The 16082-nt window shown below is 39.8% G+C and overlaps 1 protein-coding gene and 1 non-coding gene across 3 annotated transcripts in view; both read right to left on the bottom strand.

Annotated features, from left to right (window-relative positions):
* IRAK3 (interleukin 1 receptor associated kinase 3) overlaps positions 7665–16082 on the bottom strand; it is a 65409-nt gene continuing 56991 nt past the window's right edge. For both annotated transcript variants that reach the window (NM_007199.3, NM_001142523.2), the window contains one exon: positions 7665–14592. In NM_007199.3, coding sequence (NP_009130.2) covers positions 14116–14592 — 477 coding nt within the window. In that variant the 3' untranslated portion in view covers positions 7665–14115. The remainder of the gene's footprint in view (positions 14593–16082) is intronic.
* Positions 11130–11205, bottom strand: MIR6502 (microRNA 6502). The gene has a single exon (NR_106757.1). It is a non-coding gene; the product is annotated as a microRNA 6502 (primary transcript).

The raw sequence follows: 16082 nt of genomic DNA, 5'->3' as shown, positions 1-16082 counted from the left end.
TATAACAATCACCAGATATTTAGTGACATTTCTTTGGATCCTGGTTGGGCAGAGAGATGTTAGTTGACCACAACTGTACAGGAAATGGAGTGTGAGCAACCAAGTTGAAGGTGATCCTCTGGGACCTGTCCATGGAAGGTAGTCTTGGCTAACCAACCTCAAACCTTATGGTTTCCTTAGAGGGCTTATTTCGCTAATGCAGGAGGTGGTCTCATGCTCCCTTTATTAAGAAATACTTAAGATCAAGTAATTCTTCTGTCCCATAGCATATCACTTGATATATAGCTTGCCTACAGGGAAATAATGCACTAATAGTTTGACTTGAGAATTTCAGTTGTCTGAAGAGTTGTATTTGTCATTAGAAAGCAGAAGTTTTAGTCCATTTGTGCTGCTATAACAAAATACCACAGACTGGGTAATATACAAACAATAAAAATTCATTTCTCACAGTTCTGGAGGCTGCAAAGTCCACAACCAAGGCACCAGCAGATTCAGTGTCTGGTGCAGACTACTCTCTGCTTTCAAGATGGCATCTTGTTGCTGTGTCCTCACGTGGTAAAAGGTGGAAGAGCAAAAAGCCTAGCTAGCTTCCTGGAGCCCTTTGATAAGGGCACCTCATCCCGTTCATGAGGCTGAAGCCATCATACTTAATCACGTCTTAAAGACCCCACCTCTTAATACGATTGTAGTAGGGTTTCAATGTGAATTTTAGAGGGGACACAAACATTCAAACCATAGCAGTAGATAACGGGTACTCTGGTTTTTACCTATCTACGTGAACCTGGTCAATGCAAATCTACCATTGAGAGGTAAGCCCATTCCAATTCCAATAAAACAGAAATTCTGGCTTCTGAGATAGCAAGTGTAAGATGGACCCCACAAAACTCATCTAGGTGAATGCCACCTTGATAGAAGCCAGTCTGGGATGTCAGTCAGTACCATTGGGCGTGACCTGCTTTCATTAAACTACAGCAAACAGTGAACAAAATATTTCATCATGTTTTTCACTTTATTCGATAGATATTAATGGGTATCTAAGTCCATAGCCTGGGAGAGATAAAAGTTTTATCCCTGGAAAGAGACCCATAAATAATATGGTAGCGATAATGAAACAAAAGGCAAAATACTAAAGAAACATCAAAATTACAGAGGGAGAACAAGAGAGGGCGTGATTAATCACTTAGGGAAGTTTGGGAAGGATTCATGAAGGAAGTGGCATTTATGCTACATCAAGGATAGATCCATTTGTTTGGAGGTGAGGGTGGAGAGAAGAGGCATTCCAGGTAACTGGAACAGGTGTGCTAAGGCAGTGGTCCCCAAACTTTTTCACACCAGGGAACGGTTTCATGGAAGACAATCCTTCCACAGACTGAGAAGTGAGTGGTATAGTTTCAGGATGAAACCGTTCCACCTCAGGTCATCAGGCATTAGAATCTCATAAGGAGCACACAGCCTAGATCCCTCACATGTGCAGCTCACAATAAGGTTTGCACTTCTATGAGAATTTAATGAAGCCACTGATCTGATAGGAGGCAGAGCTCAGGTGGTCATGCTCACTCACTAGCTGCTTACCTCCTGCTGTAACAAAATGACACAGACTGGGTAATATATACGGCCCAGTTCCTATAGGCCATGGACTGGTACTGGTCCGCAGCCCAGATGCTGGCGACTCCTATATAAGGCATGGAGATGAGGACCATGGCATGCTTTAAGAATCACAACACATTTAGTGAGACTAGAACAAAAGACACAAAGTCTGTGGGAAGGAAGTAGAAAGGAGATAGTGATGAAATATAAATGTTGGAAAGGTTGTTTGGGGCCAGTTTTTGAAGGTCCTTTAAGTGATTTAAAGGAATTTTGATCATATTTTATATTAAAGATGGAGAAATATATGTTGGAAAATGAGATGAAATCAGAGTTGCTTGAATTTATTTCGAAAGATTTTTTAATAATTGAAAAGATGTAAACCTGATAGAGACTATTTGGCAGAGGACTATGTGGTTCTGAAATTGCCTTTATCCTGTAGAGCACTTTTTAATCAACAATTTCGTGGATGATGAAAGCAGCTTTACCAAAGTGGTCAATGACACAAATCTGGAAGGAGGAGCCAAAAAAAATTTGGCTGATCAAATTAAGAATTTAAAAGACTATTTAATTCATGCATTCAAACAATGATTATTAAGCATCTATTATGTTTCAGGAAACTTTCCAAGTCCTTGGGGATCCAGTGGTGAAAAGTTAAAGACCTTGACTTCATAGATTTTATATTCTAAGGAAGAAGGCTGATGAAAATTAAGCAAATAAATATCTAATATAATGTCATGTCATGACAAAAGAAGTGAAGGAAATCACTATAATGAAAAAGACAACAGAGAGTAATAGCAGAGGGAGACATTCTGCAGGAAGAGAATTCCGGGCAGGGGACCAGCAAGCACAAACGTCCTGAGATGGGAACAAGCTTGGTCTGCGAGAAGGTGAGTGTGGATAGAGCTGACTGGTCAAGGGGAAAGTGGTAGGAAATGGAGAGTTATCCAACTCGAGTTGGATCAATGAGTGAAAACAAACAAGATAGCATTGAACTATGATGCAGATAAAATCGTTAAAAAATAATTGAGTAGTATTAAAACAATAAAAATGTAAGAGCTCTGTTTTAGTGTATAAAAATCAATTGCACAAGGAAAGGTTGAAGGAGATGTTACTGGCAGTTTATGTGAAAAAGACCCCAAGGCCTTGGTAGATCCACAAAGTCAGAACTAGCACAGAATGATGACTTCAACACACATACATGCACATGTGCATGCATGCATGCATCTACACTTACACAACCTTAGACTAAATTAACAGAACCCTACCCAAATTAAATAACATAATAAACGAGGATTCTTTTCATCTAGCATATTTAAGGTATTACATTGGATTTAGGATGACAAATGTTACTGGTTACTGATGAATTAAAAGTTTTCCCACTATTTTCTCAGGATGCAAGAAAAATAGAAAAAATAACCCTTTAAAATCATTGTAGGAATATACACAGGAGGAAAATTAGGCTTATTCTGAATGCCTCGGAGTGGAAGCGGATTAAGTCTAGTCTGAGAGAACTCTCAGCCAGGTAGAAATAGCTGTTAATGCAGTGGGCTACCTGGGAAAGGTAATCACATCTCATCCACCTGCTTAGATTTCAAAGCAAAAGAGAATTAGACACGGGAGCCGGAAGAAAGTCTACCACGCTGCCGATAAAGGAGAACAATGACCTCAGCCGGGATCCAAACCTAAATGGGAGCTTCTGACAACCTCCCCTCCAGTCCAGCCTATGCTTTCTACACAGGTGAGGAGGCAGCAGGAAGTGAGGGGCAAGTAATCCCCAGGAGAGAGACTCAGAGCCTACCTATGCACCGGCCCTGCTTCATCAGTATCCTGGTACTAACCCAGCCCCTGAAATGGCAGGCCTTCACCTTCTCACCATGAGGACATTCCACCCCTCCTCACAAAAGTAGGAAAGAAACTGCAGGAAAGCGGCAAAATGACTTCTTCCTCTCTTCTCAAAATAATGCTCTCCCTGGGACTTTTTCCAGCACATCCTGGACGAGAATTCATGAAAAGGCCTTCTAGAGAGGATATCTGCTTTCATCAAAAGGTGTACAAGGTTACTTTTATGTGCCTATCAATTCCTAATATTTTATTTAATTGATTAAAATGCTTAAGGCCTTCCTCTCAGATAAAGTGTAAATTATTCAACGTGTTATTCAAAGGGCTCTGTGAAATACCAGATCTTACTTCTCCAAATTATTCTCTACTATTTTCTAACTGCCCTCCGTCAGTTCAGGCTCATTTACATGCTCATCTGTGGTTTCTATGCTGTTCCATTCTGCCAAAGCCTACTTGGAATTTCCCTTGCCTTTCTTTCCATCTTTATGCCAGCAACATAATACCTATTGAATGCTTTGTGTTCATAGACTCCTCCCAAGAGCAATAAGAAATACGAAGTCGTACAAGACAATACTTTTCAAAACAACTGGGTTCCAGATTCAGTGCCAGAAGCATTAAGTCTGGTGTAGGGGGTATTAGGTGGCCATGGCAACAGGGATGAAAGTTATGTGTGGGCTTTTCTGCATCGAAGTCTGATGTGGTTATCACTGTGGCCAAGTGCCTGAGCTGCCAACAGCAGAAGTCAATGTTGAGCCTTTAACTTGGCATCATTCCTCATGGGAACTGGCCTACTAGTTATTTGGTGACAGGTTGACTGCAGTGGGCCCTTCTAGCATGGAGGGAGCAGTGATTTGTCCTCACCAGATTTGATGCTTAGTCTGGATATGGATTTGCCTTTCCTGCCCACAGTGCCTCTGTCAGGACCTTAGTTGGTAGGTTTATAGTATCTCTTTAAACACAGTTCTGATGCAGAACTCATTTTATAGTAAAATAAGTGAGGCAGCTGGGCTTGGTGGCTCACCCCTGTAATCCCAGCATTTTGAGAGGCTGAAGCAGGTGGATTGCTTGATTCCAGGAGTTTGAGACTAGCCTGAGCAACAGAGGGAGACTCCTGTCTCTGCAAAAGAGTAAAAAATTTAAAAATTAAAAATTAGCTGGGTATGGTGGAATGCACCTGTAGTCCCAGCTACTCAGGAGGCTAAGGTGGTAGGATCACTTGAACCAAGGAGGCAGAGGTTGCAGTGAGCTGAGATCACATCACTGCACTCTAGCCTGGGTGACAGACTGAGACCCTGTCTCAGAAAAAAATAAAAAATAAAACAGTAAAATATAGAGTAAAATAATAAGGCAATGAGGCTTGCACCCATGGAATTCTGCTGGTCTTACTGCATACTTCATAAAGCAGTTGGCTTTATGGAACTTTGAAATGGCCTGCTAAGAGCTCAGCTATGCTGTCAGCTGGGGGACAACTCTGTGAGGCTTGATGACCACAGACTTTAAACCAAAGACCGATCCATGGTGTTCTTCTATTCACAGCCAGAAAACAGAGGTCTGGCAACCAAAGGGTGAAGTCGAAATGGCTCTTCTCACTTTTACTTCTAGGTACCCAGTCATGTTTTGTTTTTGTTTTCTGTTTTTGACTTTCTATCTCTTCAACTCTCAGTTCTGCCAATTGAAAGGTCTTGGATCTCAAGTGAGAAATGATTCCATGTGGACACAATAGGGTTTATGCACCAGGGAGTTGAGACACTGTCATTTTGGGTTCTTCATGCCACTGAACCAAGAAGACAGAAAGAAGTCGTTCTATGGCTCTGGGTATTGATTGCAGTTATCAAGAGGAAATCAGATTTATGAACACAATGAGAGCAGGGAGGCTTAAGTCTGGAATCCAGGGACTTCTGGGTGCTAATGGTTCTGCAACCAGGAATGAATGTTGATGTAAAATCATAACACTCCAAAAAAGGCAGGATCACTAAGGACTTAGACCCTTCAGGAATGGAGGTGTGGTGCCTGCCATCAGGGAAGGAAGCCTAAACAACTGTGATGGTTAATTTTATATGTCAGCTTGACTTGGGTAGTAGGTAAACCATCATTTCTGGGTGTTTCCATGAGGGCGCCCCTGGAAGAGATTAGCATTTGAATTGGTGCACTGAGTAAAGAAGCCCTCGTCATGCAGGTGGCCATCAACCCAGCTCTTGAGGGCCCAGATAGAACAAAAAGGCAGAGGAAGGGAGAATTCACTTTCTCTCCTTGAGCTGGAACATCCATCTTCTCCTGCCCTTGGACATCAGAGCTCTTGATCTCAGGCCTCTGGACTCTGAAACCAGTGCCCCAATACCCCCTTCCCAGGCCTTTGGACCAGGACAGAATTACCCCACTGGCTTTCCTGGCTCTTCAGTGTGCAGACGGCAGATTGTGAAACTTCTTAGCCTCTATAATTGTGGGAGCCAATTCCCATAATAAGTCTCCTCTTACCCATCTATATATATGCTATTGACTGTTTCTTTGGAGAACACTGATGGATCAGATAATAGGATCTTTATGAGGTCATAAAACATACTATTTTTGTTTATGGAAAAATATTATGATTTCTGATATGTAGCAGTTGCAGGTGATGATAGGGTCTAGAGTGTGGCCTTGGAAATAGAGGCTAAAGTGAAATGAAGTTGTAGTTTCACTGTAATTGATGAGACCTTTTAAACAGAAGGCAGTGATGCTACTTGGTTCATTCAACTGCTTTTGAAATTAGAAATGATAATGCTGGGATATGAGATAGAAAGATGGAGACATGTCAGAATATGTCTTCTAAAATACAGTGATCATTTTTCTATTAGGGAAATTCATTTTAATGACCAAGATAGGCTATTCATAATCACATGAATTATTTCCCCTCTTCAAGCTGCTAGACAAATGCATAATGAAAATGTCAGAGATTGCTCTGCCTGCTGTCTCAAGTAATAGCCTTAGAGCTGTCAGCAGTGAGTTAATATAAACATGCATATTTGGCTTTGTAAGCATGCTAGAATCTTAAATTTTCCCCTAGGACATACAAAATTAAAACAATAAAAGGTCATAGATTCATATTTACCCTTGGCTGAAGTCATTGTGGCTGTTTTTTAAAATCCTGGGTTATAATCATAAGAAAAAGAAATATCATAAGACCCAGTATTTAATGGTCCAGCAACTGCACTATAATTAGCCTATACACATTTAGAATGACATGAAATTATAATTAGTGAATAATGGTGTTAAGAACATTAAGAAGATTACTAGAGTAACCTCACTCTAATGTGCCGTTTAGAAATGATCCCATTTTACACTATATGTATTAGATTTCCTAAATTCTCTTTTGCTGAACTCTTTGCAGTGAGGGTACAGTTGTATCAGTCGGCATTTTCCTTCCAGAAAACACAAAGTAGCATCAAAATATTAATTTGGTATCATAAAAAAATTGTGGCTCTTTTATGCTCTCAAAAACCAGCACTCATTTATCTTTTAGCTGGATCTGCCTAGGAAGTATGTTTTAAAATCATATTTACACACTTTCGTAACTTAGTTATGTGCACAAAACAGTCCCCTCAGCTAGAACTCAGAGTTGCTATTTTACCCTGGAGTATACTTTGCTATTTCCCTTTATAATTAATGCATTGTGAATCCCATTAGCATCCTTACACAGGTTCATCTCTATCTGCTGTAGAAAAACACTGTATTCAGTCACATTTCCTCTGCACTGTTGCAAGTTTTATTTTCAACTAAAACTACAGCAAGGTAAAAATTTTATGTAAACTAAAAATGGATAGTGGGATACAAGTCTGGAGAATGAATACTTTGTGGTGGAAAATTTATGTCCGCAAAGATCTTCTCATTTAACTGCAGATAACTCCTTGAAGTAGGGATTTGTAAGTATAAATCTTACCGGTAATTTAAAAAAGATTTTAGCAAAATCAACTAATATTTAATTACAAAACACTCTCAGTTGTATACTGTGATCTGTATCTGCTTTTCTGTATTTCAGCTTATCTGGTTTTTGCCTCTTGCATTGCTTTGTCACATGCCTTCTCAAGACTTGTTACTCAAGGGATACCAGACAAATCCATTTCATAGCTTCAATTACTAAGGTAGGAAGATAAAAATAATAAAGAGCAGTGGAATAGAAGCATTATTACTAGTTGCTAGTTGCCACCAAGGGCACAACCAAGCAAAGAGCCAAGTAAATGTAGAAATGTAGAAAATGACTGTTTTTTTTTTCAAAAACTTTATTCTTTTCTAATAAAAATGATATATGTTCATTATAAAAAGTTTCAAACACACATGAGTCTGAAGAATGTAAAGATCACCCAAATACCACAGCCCAGAAAAAAAAATCCTTAACATTTGGTGAAGATCTCTCTATGAAACATACATTATCTTAAAATATTCAATGTTATAAATGAGCTCATATTCAACATATATCCTGTAGTCTACTTTTTGATTCAATAATATTTTGGGAACATATATCCATAGCAATAAACATATATCTAAATATTTTTAAATGACAACTGCATGGAATTTATTTAATCCATCTTTTACTGAAGGATGTTTCAGTTGTTTCCAATGTTTTAATATCATAAACATCATGAAATATACCTTTGGGCTCATGTTTGAAGACTTGGACAACTTTTATTCATTAGGATAAATTCCTAAACAAACTGCTGGGTAAAGGTGTATCAACATTTAGGTTTTCATACATGTTGCCAAATTGCCTTCTAGAAAGGTTCTACCAATTTTCACTCCTGCCAGTATTGAACAAGAATTCCATTTTTGTCAATTGCTTTATCTTTGCCAATATGGGAGGACAAAATTAATAATAATAAAATAAAATAACACATCTTTATTAGCTGTTTTCATGTTCAAATAGAGGACACTTTTAATTTTTAAGTTATTCTTTTTCAAGGCAGATATTTCCTGGACTTGAATAAAGTGTTTTTGGTTTGTATTCTCATTCCATCAGTAGTATGACTTAGGGCAAGAGCCAACTCCTTTATGCTTCATTTTTTTAAATCTAATAGATCAAGGAAATGGAAACCGGCTCAATAGGTTGTTTAAAGCTTAAGAGATGTGTGAATGCACCTAGCACCTACTAGACACAACAATGAGCCTGCATTTCCGCAAGTAAGCCATTCCTACCTCCTTACCCCCCATTCCAATTAATGTTTGTCTATAAGAATATTTTAAAATTCAAGAGCCAATGTAAAACTCTGTAAATATTATCTTGCTATTTATAGAGACGACCAGAAAAGTTTGCAATGATGCAGATGACATCCATAATGAGTCTCTTAAATGAAGGTTTGGCAGGCAATACAGGTCTTTTGAATAAAAATGTCTCCCAGGAAAATACTTGCAAGTCAAGCCCACAGACCATCAAGTATATATAAATGATTTGGAACGGGAAGACAGATACAAAACACAACAAACATCAGTTTATTTCCTGCCAGAACACTGGTTTTTCATTGCTTAGACATGGTTTGGGAATATTTTCCACCATAGAGAAAATTTATAAGCAACACATACAACGACTAATCTTCTTTTCGAAGATATCTCAGATATTAGTATTTAAAATTAGTAGCTTTTATTCAAGAATGATGAAATGGAATAATTTAAGCAATGATTGATTATATTCTGAATACTAGAAAGATAAACTTCGGGTGCAATCTAGATGACAATCTTGATTCTGAAGATGCTTTGAAGGACTATTTGATTCATTCATTTTACAAATATTTGTTGAACCATATTATGCACCAGGTACTGTGCCAGCCATTAGGGATCCAAAAATGAGCAGGACATAGACCTTTCCCTCAGGGAACCTGCAGTTTTGTGGAAGAAGAAATATAATTTAACAGGCAACTCCAGTATCACGTGATAGTGACCTGAGGTTTGTGTAGGTGCCTCAGACCCCCGGAAGATGCCATCAGTATCCAAACAAATGCCCCAAAGAAACCACATACCAATAGAAGAATAGAATCTGTCACAATTGCCAGCCACAAAGCACACCATAAACTACTTAGTGCATATGAATAGCAAAGTGAGGTCCACCATGGGATTATCAGTTACACAACAGGACAAGGAGAAAACCTCTCTGAACCCATTTGGAAGAGCTGGCAGAGGAGCCAGGACCTATGACAGGAGAACCACCCTGAGATTTATTCACTTACATATAAGCTCCATGAGGGCAGTGAGCTTTGCTGGTTTCCATCTGCACTGTAGCCCCAGCTCCTAGAATAGTGCCTGATACAAAGGAAGCCATTGCTAAGTATTTATTCAATGAATGGAAGTTTGGATGGATGGATTCATTTAACTCATATCAAGTAACTGCAGTGGGTGCCTGTAGCAGAGAAGTTGTAGCAGAGGAGTAGGATAGTGATAAAGGCAGGAGACATGGTACCTACTAAAAATCTGTGGAATCAACAAATGACTTTTCACATCCATCCCTTTTCATAGGAGCTTGAACTGGCAGTGACTCCATTGTGCAATTTGGAACACAAGAAAAAGCATGGATTTTGAAGTCAGACAAATGTGAGTTCAAATCCTGGCTCCTCCAGATCTGGAAGGACCTGATGGGAGGACTGGGAGGACTTGATTTTAGCAAGTTAGTTTCCTGACTCAGTGTCCTCACCTTATTATAAGATGGGATCCACACCTTCAGGGTGACTCTAAGGGTTAACCAGAAAAAAACATGCAAAGCTCTAGACCCAGTTCCCTTCACCCTTACCCCATTTTTCTGGCATTAGGGATGGTTGTGCACAGCTGCTGTGGATCCCCAATTCCTTGAATAGCCATCCTGAGTGCTTCGTCAGTGCTCTTTTCTATTTCTCTTAATTCCGTATCTCTTTTCAGAAACCTTCTCCAAGAAGCCTTCTTCATCCTCTCAAAAATGCATAGTAATCTATTCCTTCTTCTCACCCTTTCAGCATTTACTTCGGTTGCATTGGTGTGTGGTTCAAATAACAGATGTCACTGAACTGTTGACTTGGGTAGATGCCCTGTCTTCCTTATTAAACTGTGTCTTACTTTGTACCTTAGTAGCTAATGCAGTGCTTTGATTCTAGCAGATGCTTAATAAATGCTACTCATGATAAACCTCACTTCCTGTACTCATCAGTCCTCAGGTCATTAAAGTTGTTTTACACAGGGTGATGTGCCACCCTATAAAACTACAATATTATGCAGTGAGTCACAGATCATTACAACTCCCAAGAAGTCAATAAAATTGATTATATCAGAAATCCCATACCTGTTTTTAAAAACAACAAAATGTTTTCTCCATGTGTTTGGGCATTATAAAATGGGACAAAAGCCTGAAGCTTAGTAAATAGGATCTGCCTGGAGGATTGCTCAGAGTGCATTACAAAAATGAGAGTAAATGAAATTATGAATTCATGTTTGCTGATCAGAGGGAACACCCGGAGACTCATTCTTGCTTTCTTATGTATCTTGGTCTCCACATCATGAAACTATAAAGGTATCCTCTTATTACCCATAGAAAGTTGCAACATTTAATTCATATCAACTAACGCTTATTAATACACCCACTAGAAGGCAAATCTAGTCAGGAAGACTGAATCACTCAACAGAAGATTTGGTACTTCCCAGCCACAGTGGCATCTGCTTACCACAACGTTAATCAGGTCACTGCCAGCTTATCTGACTTCATCTTTGAGGTGTCCAAAATAGTTATACTCTAGAAAGATGGTCTAGTCAATAAGATGATTGGTCAACAATCTTTCTAGAGCTCCCACTCTGTGCTAACCAACATCCTATGTAATAGGATGAATATAACAGAATGAAAAGAAAGGATCCTTTTCTCAAAAAACATACCAGTGATGGAAAGGTAGGATCTACCAATCTATAACAATTTAAGAGCACCTTAAGGCAGCGATTTTCACGGATGTGAAGAGCGGGCTTCACATCATTGGCATCAGCATCACCTGGGAACTCATTAGAAAGCAAAATTTCTAACCCCAGACCTATTGCATCAGAAGCTGGGTGGACCCAGCAATCTGCGTTTTTAACCAGCTTTCCAAGTCATTCTGATGCATACTACAGTTTGAGAAACCCTGCTTTAAGTCAGCTAAGCAAGTTCAAATCAACATAATACCCACAGATTATATGTGCGGAGTAACTGCATGGGCCTGGTGTTAATCAGAGCTTCCTTAATGACCCTTCATTGAATGTATTGGTGGGGGTCCATATTCTAAGTGAAAAACAGTTTAACACAGAGTCAATTCTTGATGATCTCTTTTGTGAATCAGAGAGCTCTGAGCAGCCAGATACCGTACAGAGCAGTGGTGGGCATGGGTTCTCCCAACTGCTTACCGAGGGCCTGTATAAAGCCTGTCAGTCAGACTAAGACTTACTGTGGTTTTAATCTCACTTCGTGCTTTTTTGGAAAATTGTAACTCCATGTTTCTGACCTTGGTCTGTTAATCTCACCCTGATTCCTGATGATTTTCTTCTTTGATTAGTTGTTCTTCAACATGGAATCTAATGTGAATATGATTAACCCAACCATACTGACTCACCAAAAAAATAAAATAAAACAAAAGACATGAGCCTATTCCTCTGCTGGACAAGAAACTAGAGGTTTACCCTTCTATTACAAGCTCCTTGGAGAGGAAAATTCAGTAAATCCTCTGAAAATGGTTTTCTTCAGTGTTTCTATCCATCATCATAAGGAGTCATTATCCTCCCTTTGTTAATTTATTCGGCAATGTTTATTATAGCTGAATTATTGATTATGTGGCTTCATAGGGGTAATTTAATTCAACTTAATTTATAAGGAAACACCTGCTCTGTGTAGGATGACACATTAGGCTCTGAAGAGATGGCCCTTACACACTCAGGGAGTATGACAGACAGAGTAATGGTCCCCCGAAGATGTCCACGTCCCAATTCCAGAAACCTGTGAATATGTTACTTTACACGAGAAAACGGACTTTGCAGGTGTAATTAAATTAAGGATCTGAGACACAGAGATTTTCCTGGCTTATATGAGTGGGCCCAGTGAAATCACAAAGGTCTTTATAAAAGACATGCAGAAGGGCCAGAATGAGAGGAAGAGGGTAGTGAAGAGATGCGGTGAGACAGACAGAGAGAGGGAGATCTGAAATGTCACGTTGCTGGCTTTGAAGACGGAGGAAGAGGCCATGAGCCAAAGAAGGCAGGTGGCCTCTAGAAGCTGGAAAAGGCAAGGCAGTGAGTTCTCCCCAACAGCCTCCAGAAAGAATGCTAAGGAATTCTGACCTCCAGAACTGCAAAATAATTAATTTATGTTACTTTAAGTCACTAAATTTGTGATAATGTGTTACAAAAACAATAGAAAACTAATATAGGGAGTTTACAACCTAGTAAAAGAGATGAAGGCTGGGCGCGGTGGCTCACGCCTGTAATCCCAGCACTTTGGGAGGCCAGGCAGGCGGATCATGAGGTCAGGAGATCGAGACCATCCTGCCTAACATGGTGAAACCCCGTCTCTACTAAAAATACAAAAAATTAGCCGGGCGTAGTGGCGGGCGCCTGTAGTCCCACCTTTACTCGGGAGGCTGAGGCAGGAGAATGGCGTGAACCCGGGAGGCAGACCTTGCGGTGAGCCGAGATTGTGCCACTGCACTCCAGCCTGGATGACAGAGCGAGACTCCGTCTCAAAAAAAAAAAGAGATAAGACAAGCAGCTTTGATATAATTCAGAAAGTGATAAATATAAAATAGAAATACAAAGAAATTGCTGTGGAAATACTGATAAAGGGAGTACTTCTGGTTGTAGAGATTAGGGAAGCTTCCAGGAGGTGGCTGTTTTGTAGAGCTCTGATGATTGGTAGGATTTCAAAAGAGGGAGATCCAAGAAACAGCAGGAATGAAGGCCCAGAGTTGAAAGGTGTAGATTAAACAAAAAGCTGACCTAGGCCCTTGACCAGCCATTTTCTCAGGAATAAAAATTACTTGATGGACATTTCACATAGTCTCCTTAAGATATAATAGGTCACTAAGTCTGTTTTTAAAAAGCTGTAATAATAGTCAATACAGGATAAACTGTCCTAAGAGTTTAGGATAGATCTTGGGAAGAAATCCCCTTTCAACCCAGAGCATGCCGTAGCTAAGGGTGAACCTGGCTCATTTTCAGACAAGCAGGCTAGTCAGGGATTAACCAAAAAACAAGAGGGGTCAATCAGAATAACAAGGTGATTCTTTCCAAAGGTATCTATTAACATTTACAAATTAGACATTTCCTACAACCCGTGCAAGCAAGCTAAACCAAACGATGGAATCCAACTGAATGTTCTTGGCAGATGGAGGCTCTGAGGACTCACACTGAGGATGATGGAGAGGACATTACAATCCAGTCCCTTTTTGGTAGGTTTTGATTGTTTTGTTTGGCTGAAGTCAGAACCCATGATCTTAAGGAATTTTGAATGGCTCTAATTGAGCGTGGATTTGGTCATGAGACAATTATCCTGATAAAACAATTTTTTAAGGCACTCTGTTTGAGGGTTTGGGAAAAAAGAAATGGAATTATCCAGATTGTTTATCTGCATCACCCAAACTCACTATTGATCATTCTCTTGGCATTGCTTATGGAGCCAATGTCTTCCCAAGGTCATACCTATGCTCAGGTGCCTATGCAATACTTGCTTTTTTCTTTATCTTCTGGTAGAATTTATTCTTTTTTGTACTGTTCATATTCATCCCAGGAAAATTTGGAGGAACAGCTGCTCTCCACTGGCCTGCTCCTGCAAGAATGCCCTGGAGCTTCTGAAGAAGGATCTATATTTACCTTATAGGGCCTTAAGTCCTGGGATGGAACTATATACTTTGGGAACCAACTTTCTTCACAAGAAGAACTGGGCATGTTGCAAGCTTCCTCATTTCTCTTGCTCTCTGGCTTTTTGTCCAAGCTCAGAAACATAACCTCAGACTGGCTGCATTCAAAAGGAGTTTTCTGAGTCATTCTGTCTATCCTCAGGCCTTCATCAGAAGGTAGTAAATTGTTATTCTGGCTTTCATCATCTTCCACTGGAATACTTGGTACATTCTCCAGGAATAGAGGAGAAGGACACCTGAAGGACTTTAGTGATGTGGGAGGATCTTCAGCAAAATACAAGCTGGCTTGAGTACTTTCAAGAGTATTTAAAACCTAATAACAAAGAAGCAAACAGACATTAAATTAAGTTTGAATAATCTTTCCTTTTACCTTTTATCACTCTACCTATAAAGAATATTCTTTCATTTTCATGAAATTAGTTCAGCTATAGAATTTTGAATTAGAAGGGATCTTAAAGATTAGCTAACGCCCTTTATTTTGAGGAGTAAATTAAGTGACTTAAAACCAGGTATAAAAGAAACTACACTAAAGTAAATACCAAGAGACCTGACTTAAGCCTCAGATTTGCCACCAACTAGCTTTGTGAACTTGGGCAAGTCTCTACATTTTTTACTTCAACCATAATATGTGGAAGATTGGAAGGGAATAAGGAAATGGTGGGCCCAACCTGTAATTCTTAAATGCCAGTTTTTTGTTGTTGTTCTTGTTTTGTTTGTTTGTTTGTTTTGTTTTTTTTTGAGATGGAGTCTCACTCTGTTGCCCAGGCTGTGGCGCAGTGGGATAATCTCGGCTAACTGCAACCTACGCCTCCCAGGTTCAGGCAATCCTCCTGCCTTAGCCTCCCAAGTAGCTGGTATTACAGGCACGTGCCACCATGCCCAGCTAATTTTTGTATTTTTAGTAGAGATGGGGTTTCGCCATGTTGGCCAGGCTGGTTTCAAACTCCTGACCTCAGCTGATCCACCCACCTCAGACTCTCAAAGTGCTGGGATTACAGTCGTGAGCCAGGGCCCCTGACTAAATGCCAGAAGTTTTAGGGAGCTCTTTTAAAGTGCATATCCCTTGGTCCCAACATAGAGATTGTCATTCAAAACATAAGGTGTTGAAGGTCCAGGAATCTGTATGTTAGAAGCTTCGGATGATTTGGATGTACAGCTAGATGTGAGAACCCTTGATGTAATTAATACACCATACAACATACCTTCATATACACACACACACGTAATTAAAAAAATACATATAGAGAGCTTTACAGTTTACAAAGTGCTTTCACATATATTATCTCATTTAACCTGTACAAACAACATTAATCATTCTCATTTTATAGATGATAAAGCCTGAGGCTCAGAAAAGGGAAGCAGTATCATTAGTCAGTAAGGTACAGACCTGCTGTTTGACACCGGATCTCCGGGCTTCCAATTCTCTGTCCCTGCACGATATATGTCATAGCTCCTTCCTGAGCCCTTGGCTCCACACAACTCTCACGGGTGGTGTCAGGCCTGGAATACAGCTCTCCTGCCTCGAAGGCCAGTGCTGTTTATATTCTGATTATGTCAACTCCTTGTTTAAAACCCTTGCATGGCTCTATGATAGACTCAGGATAAAATCCAAACTCCTAGAATGGAATTCATGTCCCTCTGTCATGGAAGCTTCTATTATTTTAACCACTCCAGGCTTTCCCTCACTGCTCCCCCTCCATGATGCTGAATTATCTGTGGTCTTAGCACCATGGGCTCCATCACCTTGGAGCCTTTGCAGGTATTCATTCTCTCTGCTTGGGATGTCTTTCCATCCTTACTGCT

This window comes from Homo sapiens, chromosome 12, assembly GCF_000001405.40.
Source record: "Homo sapiens chromosome 12, GRCh38.p14 Primary Assembly".
In the NCBI taxonomy this organism is placed as follows: domain Eukaryota; kingdom Metazoa; phylum Chordata; class Mammalia; order Primates; family Hominidae; genus Homo; species Homo sapiens.
The sequence above is the reverse complement of the archived record's forward strand: the minus strand, read 5'-3'. Positions and strand labels throughout refer to the sequence as shown.